Here is an 8318-nt window from a genome sequence, read left to right on the forward strand (position 1 = left end):
ATGTAATGCAGGGCAAAGACACTATAAGTACAGAATGCATGATTACATTTCTATAGAGCCCATAGCAGGCTGACTTGAACTGTGCTGTTAGATTTCAGAGATTGGTGGCCCTTATTGGAAGGTAGCAACTGGAAGGCAGGGCAATGGGAGCTCCTGCAGGGCTGGTGATATTCTGCTGGCTGAGCTGGTGCTAGTTACAGGGAAGCAACTGAGCTGCATGCTTTTTTTTTTTTTTGAACCTTTCTTTGTGTATGTTATACTTCGATTAAGAGTTCAAGATGCATATGCTTGAAGGGAAGCATCCCCCTTCTCTGATTCTCCATATAGCTAGGTGTAGTGAAGATGCTGGAGTTTCTGCTGGCATCTATGATGCCAAGGAAATGAGCCAGCCCCCAGATGGCAAAACAGATAGATGGAGGCTGAGCCTAGGTGACATTGTTGTCAACCTTGACACTGGCACAACTGTAAGAGGTGGGGACTATCATTGTCCCCGTCTAATCCCCCAGGACACCGAGGCTTAGAGAAAAACTTAGAAAGTCCCCACCCCACCTCGGAGTGGCATTCTAGTTGTTCCTGAGTTAGAGGTGAGCATTCAGAATAACAATACAAGGAATGTCCCACCAAAAGAGGAGCTGGACAGTTCAGTGGCGATGGAGACCACTGTGGGCTGCGGTGTCTGGGGAGCTTTCCAGCTAAGATCTTGTTTTCCGGTTCCTGCTGCTTCTCTCATTATTCACCACTCCCTTCTCCCAGCCACCCACGACCCAGTCTCTGCTCAGCCGCATGGAGTTCCCCCAAACTCTACTGCTCTTCCCCTGTTGGCCTTTGCACAGCCTGTTTGCTCTGCCTGGAGCACTCGCCTCCTTCCCTCCAGCAGCCTAACTCCAACTTCTCTCTCAGTCTTGGCGTTGGTGCTCTTCCTCCAGGAAGACATCTTGGACTCTCTCTTAGGAACCTAAAGCCCATGAAGCCAGAAGAGAGACAGTAAACCCCCACACTTGCCCACCTCTGGAGAGGCAAGTCCTTGTTCAGTCCTTCCAACAACCTTCCAAGGCAGGCAACACTGGTGTTCTCGGCCACAACTGGCAGGTTAAGAAACTGAGGACCAGAGAAGACAAGAGGCTTCCATGAAATCACACAGCACTCTTTCCATCAGGAGACAGGCCCTGAATTATGCCTGTAGAATTTGGCAAACACAGCAACAACGATAATGATATCCACTAAGGTTTATTTGGCATTTGCCAGGAAGGGCTCTAAATATTTCATCTGTATTAACTCATTTAATCTTCACAACATCCCCATGAAATAAATATTATTATTGTCCCAAATTTACAAGGAAGAAACCAGAGGTGCAAACAGATGAGAAACTTGCTCTCTCAACTACCAAATATTCAACATCAAATACCAAAATACTTACTAGTCACCAAATACTGAAAGCAACCAGAAAGATCTTCCTCATCCATCAAGTCTATAGATCTTTCAAAAATCATAATTGGCAGCATCAGAATGCAGAGAAATAAACACATCAGAGACATAGTACAGATGCATAGATTGATTTTTTTAAACTTTCTGATCATAATTTGGTAACAGTATTTAGTAAGAATTCCTCTTTTTTTTTCTTTTTTTTTTTTTGAGACAGAGTCTTGCTCTGTCACCCAGGCTGGAGTGCAGTGGCACGATCTCAGCTCACTGCAACCTCCACCTCCCGGGTTCTAAGTGATTCTCCTGCCTTAGCCTCTGGAGTATCTGGGATTATGGTGCCCACCACCATGCCTGGCTAATTTTCTATTTTTAGTAGAGATGGGGTTTCACCATGTTGGCCAGGCTGGTCTCGAACTCCTGACCTCAGGTGATCCACCCGCCTCGGCCTCCCAAAGTGCTGGGATTAGAGGCATGAGGCATCCTGCCTGGCCTGCGTATTCCTTTTGACTCACCAATTCTACGTCTAGGAATCTATTTCTTGGAGAAATACTCAGAGATCTTGTCTCAAGTTTGTACTCGAAAATATGCTTAGTAGTATCACGTTGAACAACAGCAACAAAAGAAAGGAATCCACCCAGAAGTTCAGCAATAGGGTTGGTAGGATAAATGATGACACTCCCATCCCATGAAACATGACTCAGTCATTAAAAGTAATATTGCAAGAGAAAAGTAAATATCATTTTTCTAAAGTGTCTAAAATTCAAGGATGAGTAAAAACAGAATACAAAACTATATGCACACAGTATTATTTGCACTGTATTGCATGATATCATTATACACCCGAAGAATCTGTTGAGCAAGGCTAGGAGGACATGCGATGATGCCTTCCTGCTCATAACAACCCCATGAGACAGCCGCTACAGTATCATTCCCATTCTGCAGATGGGACCACCGAGGCATAGGAAAGTAAGGTCCTCACCAAGGCCAGGATTGTCTGACTCCAGAGTACACATTCAGGCCCACACCAGCCTCTGGGTATGACATTATGGGTGGATGGTTAAAAGTTTTTGTATACTTTTAAGAAGCTATTTTCCAAGCTATTTCCAATGAACATCTATCAATTTTATAATCAAGGACAGGAGGCAATAAAAATCATTTGTTTGTGCAAAGTGTCCAAAAAGTTCCAGAAGGCTATACATGCCCAGGTGTTAGGGACAATTATCTCCAGCTGGCAGGAGGCCTGGAGCACTGTGGGCTCTTCATTTTGCTCTATTTTGTCACTTTTCTGAAGAAACTGAGCACATGAGTTATTTAGAATTCGGGTGTTTGGTGCCTGGGACTTCTGTCAGGGTCTGCGGTGTCTGGAGTGGGGCCGGCTCTGATCCGGTGAAGGTACCTCTAGACCCCTGCCCACCTTCTCCCCACAAGCCTAGGCCATGGCCGCCCCCGTCCCCACCAGAAAAGCATGGCACCAACACCAGCTTGTGCCTCTCCTCGTCCCCTCCCAAGAGGGCCATGTCCTTGTTCATCTGTAACTTTCAATTAACCAGGCACCAGGCTCCGGCTCAGAGGCTGAGCAAATGTTCCAAGGAGGAAAAGAAAATCCAGCCCAACAGCTCCAGGAGGACGCTTCCTTTTAATTAAAGTGAGGATCATGGAGGCTCTAAAACCCTTTTCCGATGAAACGTGAAGGTGGTCAGGGAGGGGTCCTTGAGAGCAGGGCTGGGTAAGGCAGGGCAGCAAAGGTGTGGTGAGGGAGTCAGCCTCCCACCCCTGCATCCCTCATTAGGCTCCTGCAGGGCCAGGGCCTTCTAGCCGCGCCGAGGAAGGGCAGCTGATGTCAGAGGGCCCTGATAATTAGAATCCAAGACCCCCGAGAGGGCTGCCACAGGATGGTTGCTAACACTATCCATTAGGGGTGTTTGGGAGGGGAGAGCGTGTGCAGATCAAATCTGGAAACGAGGCTCTGGGCTTGGCCCCAGCAGAACTCCAGGCTTCTTGCTCCTCCTGCTCCCAGGGTCAGCCTGGCTTCTCTGGTTTTCTGTTTGAACAGAAGGGAGGGAAGGAAGGACCGTGCTCAATTCTCTTGAGCCCATTTCTCAGAGGCCCTCAGAGGAAGGATGTACCCAGCCCCAGCTCAGAGGAAAGAAGGCCCTTGCCTTTGTGTCTCACTCACATCACGCCCTGCTGCAGGGCTGGAGGTTCCCGCAAGATGGTGAATGGTGGTCATGGTGGTGGCTGCAGTCATACAGCCAAGGTCTGTGGAATGTAACTACTGCTCCAGCGGGGCATCAATAAGACGGCGGATTTGGCAGCTTGGCCTTCGTGGGTTTGAATCCCGACTCTGCTACTCCGTAGCTATATCACTGAGGGCAACTTAATTCCCCTCTCTGGGCCTCATCTTCCTCATCTGTAAAACGGAGCTGACAGTGATGCCTGCCTCACAGAGCTGTGTTGTGAGGATTAAATTAGTGAACATGTGTAAAGTGTAAGAACAGTGTCTGGTTCGCCTGCCCTCGATTAATGTCAGCTGTTACTAAGACATTTTACATTTATTCAGATTAACTCATTAATTCTTCCCAATACCCCACGTGGTAGTCACTTTCATTACCCCTCTTAGTACATGCAAAAATAGGCACAGAGAGGCTAAGAAATTTGCCCAAAGTCACACACCTTTTACTAAGGAGAAAAGCCAGTATTCCAACCCAGGCCCTGTGGCTCCATAGCCCACGTGCTTGGCTATCATTTTATTTAATATTCTGCTCCTCGTTGTGGACGTATAGATGTAGGCATGGATGGTATTCTGTAGCAAATTTTTACAAGATGGCGAATATTAAGGGAGTGGTTGGCAGAGTTGAATGGGCAGGGGCTCTGGGATCAGGCCAGCTTGAGCTCAAGCCTTGGTTCTGCTGCTTTCTGGGTGTGTGCCTTGGAGCAAGACACTTTTCCCTCCTTCCTCGTCTGTGAAATGAGACTCATAGTCAAGTCCCTTCTGAGGGAAGTAATGGAGTAAGAGGAGGTGAGCAATGGTCTGCAGGAGGGGTTGTGGGAGGGGAGAGGGAGGAGGAGCACAGGGGAAGGGCCTGTCCCCTGTGGGTTCCAGACCCCTGCCCCTGAACAGGCTGCCTTTCCTCCTCTGCTCCCTTCCCTTGCAGCAGCCCAGAGCCCAGGGCGCAGCCAGAGGCAGAGCCCCAAAGCCCCAACCAGCATGTAACTCAAAGTGATGAACTCTGGCTTCGGATCCCAGCAAGGGCGTCGCTGGCAGCTGGAAGGGGTGCTGCTCAGGGTCGCTGGAATGGGAAGGGTCCAGTGAGGACACCTGTCACTGGACCATCTGGGTCCTGAGGATACTCCCAGTAACACACTTGTACCCAATGCCTCTTCTTCTTCACCTGGCTCCTCCCTATCTTCCACCTTCCGGCCCGCCCCCTCCAGTCCAGCCTCTACACTGCAGCAGAGGGATTAGTCTAAAATGCAGATCTTATCAGGTTGTTTTCTGGCCTAAAACCTTCCCATGGCTCCCCACCACCCAAGCTCTTTGCCTTGACCCGTGAAGCCCCATCCACCTGTTCTGAGGTTGCCTGTGAGTCCCTCTTCCATCCTTTGGCCACTGCACTCTCCCCTCTCAAATGCTAAACTCCTACCACACTGGACATTTCTTTGTGCCATGTTCTTGCACCGCACTGGGGCATTTGATCTTATAGATCCCTCTGCAAGAAGCACCTTTCTCCCCTTCTGGCCACCACCACCCCCAATCAAAACACATCTTCTGGGTTTTCTCCTGTTTATTCTTCAAGGCTGCACTTAACACATTGCTTCCCTGAGGAAGCCCTTTCCATACTCCCCTGACCCAGCTGGGTCAGCTGCCCTGCTTCGTGTTCCCACAATCTCCCAAGCTTCTCTCAGGGAGCATTTACCATAGTCCATTGTAATTATTTAAGAGTGTGTCTCTTCCACTGGACACAGGGAACCCCTTGAGGATAAGGACTGATTTTGAGTTGCTTATTATTGAAATTATGATGCTTGAGACAGAGAAGGGGCTAAAGGGTCTGCTGGGTGGATGGATGGATGGATGAGACCATGGCAGGTAGGTGGGTGGGTTGGTGGATGGATGGATGAATGGATGGGTAGGTGGATGAATGGGTGAGTGGATGGTGAATGGGATGGATGGATGGAGGCATGGTAGGTAGGTGGGTGAGTTGGTGAATCGATGGGTGGGTGGGTAGATGGATGGAAGGATGGAAGCATGGCAAGTAGGTGGGTGAGTGTTTGGTGAAGGGATGGGTGGGTGGGTAGATGGATGGAAGGATGGAAGCATGGCAAGTAGGTGGGTGAGTGTTTGGTGAATGGATGGGTGGGTGGGTGGATGAACGGATGGATGGAAAGATGGAAGCATGGCAGGTAGGTGGGTGGGTTGGTGAATGGATGGGTGGATGGATGAATGGATGGGTGGATGGATAGGTGGATGGATGGATGGGTAGATGGATAAATGGATGGATGAACGGGAGCATGGCAGGTAGGTGAGTGGGTGGGTGGGTGGATGGATGGATGGGTGGTTGGACGAATGGGAGTATAGGCAGGTAGGTGGGTGCGTGCATGGACAGATGGGTAAGCGAGGAAACAGAGGGAATGATACATTGGTGGATGAATAATAAGAAAACAGATAATAAAATAAATGGCGGAAGAATGGATGGGTGAGTAGGTGAATGGATGGATAGATGAATGATGAGAAGGCCGGATGGATGCACAGACAGACAGACAGATGGATGGATACAGTCCTTCCTCAATCGTTAGAGAGAGAAAAGCTCCAGTCTTTGGATTTCAAGGTTTGGAAGGTCCTTATACCTCTCCCAGCCCTTAACTTTAATGGTCACAATAGCAGTAACATATTTTTAAATCACCTTTTTAAAAATTAAGGTCAAATTTACATAACGTAGCCAGGCGCAGTGGTTCACGCCTGTAATCCCAGCACTTTGGGAGGCCAAGGTGGGCAGATCACTTGAAGTCGGGAGTTCAAGACCAGCTTGGCCAACATGGTGAAACCCTGTCTCTACTAAAAATACAAAAATTAGGTGGGTGTGGCAGCATGCACCTGTAATCCTAGGGGAGACTGAGGCAGGAGAATCGCGTGAACCCAGAAGCTGGAGGTTGCAGTGAGCTGAGATCCGGCCACTGCACTCCAGCCTGGGCGACAGAGTGAGAATCTGTCTCCCAAAAAAAAAAAGCTAACATTTTAAAGTGAACAATCCAGTACATTCACAATGTTGTACAATCACCACCTCTATCTAGTTCCAAAACATTTTCATCATTCACAGAAGATAACCCCATTAAGCAGTTTCTTCCCATCGTCCCCTCCCTCAGCCCCTGGAAACCACTAATCTACCGTCTGTCTCTGAATTTGTCTTTTCCGGACATTTCAAAGAACGCAGTCATGCAATTTGTGACCTTTTGTGTCTAGTTTCTTAAATAAGGCTTTTTGTGGGCAATAAAAACTAGTTTCTGAGGGCGGAGAGGAATCTGTAAAGTGGGCATATGACACCCCCTGCCTGGCCACTCCTGCTTAGGAGACCAAAGCGCTCCTGGAAGCAGCAGGGGCTGACAAGCAGGTGGGGGAGGACCCCAGCGACGCAGGCTCTCCTGTGCCACTCACTAGCAGGCTGGACAGGGACTGGAGGCATGCTAAGGTCCCTGGTTGCCTACCACCTGGCTTAGGGTCTGGCACTCAGTGGAAACTTAGTAAGTAGGAGATGGAGTGGCCTTCACTGAGTGGCGTGAGGAGGGATAAAGATTCCCCCACCTCCTGGCTGTGTCGTGGTCCCAGAAGGAGCCTCTCTTTGCCATGCATCAGTCCCCACAGAGCCTTGCCGTGTGCCAGGAGCCTCAGCAAACCTCTTCACTTAATGTCCCAAACAACTCTACAGAGCGGCTATCAGAAGACGCATTAGCAGAAAGGTGGCCAAGCTGGGTTGAGTGTGTTCCCCAAGTATACAGCAACAGCCCCTGTGCTCTTTCCGCTGCAACATCCTGTCCCTTCTCTCCTCTTCCTCCTCTCTGCAGGATCCCTGCTATCGACATATGATTCAAACCCTAGGGGATTTAGGCCCCTGTGTCTCATCCACAGCACCCTTTTTCTTAATCATTTCCTGCTGCCTCCGAGCCCCAGACAGGCTCCCTCTTTCCCGGCATCTCTCTATGCTCCCCTCTGCAGGCAGCAGCCAAAGACATCTCCGTGGTACAAGTCGGCCATCTGGTGTCTACATAGAGTATAGCAGCCACAGAGGGAAATCAAGGGTGAGAATTCCCTGCCAGGGCAAAAGCACGACCTCACCTCACAGCTCAGGGAGGAAGGTGCAGGGGATGGGGCCCTAATTTAATCTGGGCTCTCCATCTGTGACTTGCCCTGTGCTAGGTGCTTTACCTGCATTGATCTCAGTTAATCCTCACCTTGGTGCTACAAGAACTACTCCTTACTGTATGTAGTAGGGGCTCCAAAATACTTGTGATAAAAGGACAAATACTCTATGATTCTACTTACATGAGATCCCTAGAGCAGTCTAATTCATAGAGACAGAAAGTAGAATGCTGGTTTCCAGGGGCTGGGTGAGGGGAACAAGGAGTGAGGGTTTCATGGGTGCAGTTTCAGCTGGGAAAGATGGGAAGAGTTCTGGAGATGGATGGTGGTGACTCTGCACAGCAATGTGAGCGGACTCAGTGCCAGCAAGCTGCGCACCTAAAAATAGTTAAATGGTAAATCCTATGTTACATATCTTTTACCTCCATTTTTTAAATAACTATATGTGAGTGAATCAGCTAAGAAGAAATGAATAAATGCATAAGTGAATTGATGAATGCATAATGAAGATAATAATACCATTTATGGAATACTTAGTATGTGC

The sequence above is a fragment of the Homo sapiens genome, chromosome 3, assembly GCF_000001405.40.
Source record: "Homo sapiens chromosome 3, GRCh38.p14 Primary Assembly".
In the NCBI taxonomy this organism is placed as follows: domain Eukaryota; kingdom Metazoa; phylum Chordata; class Mammalia; order Primates; family Hominidae; genus Homo; species Homo sapiens.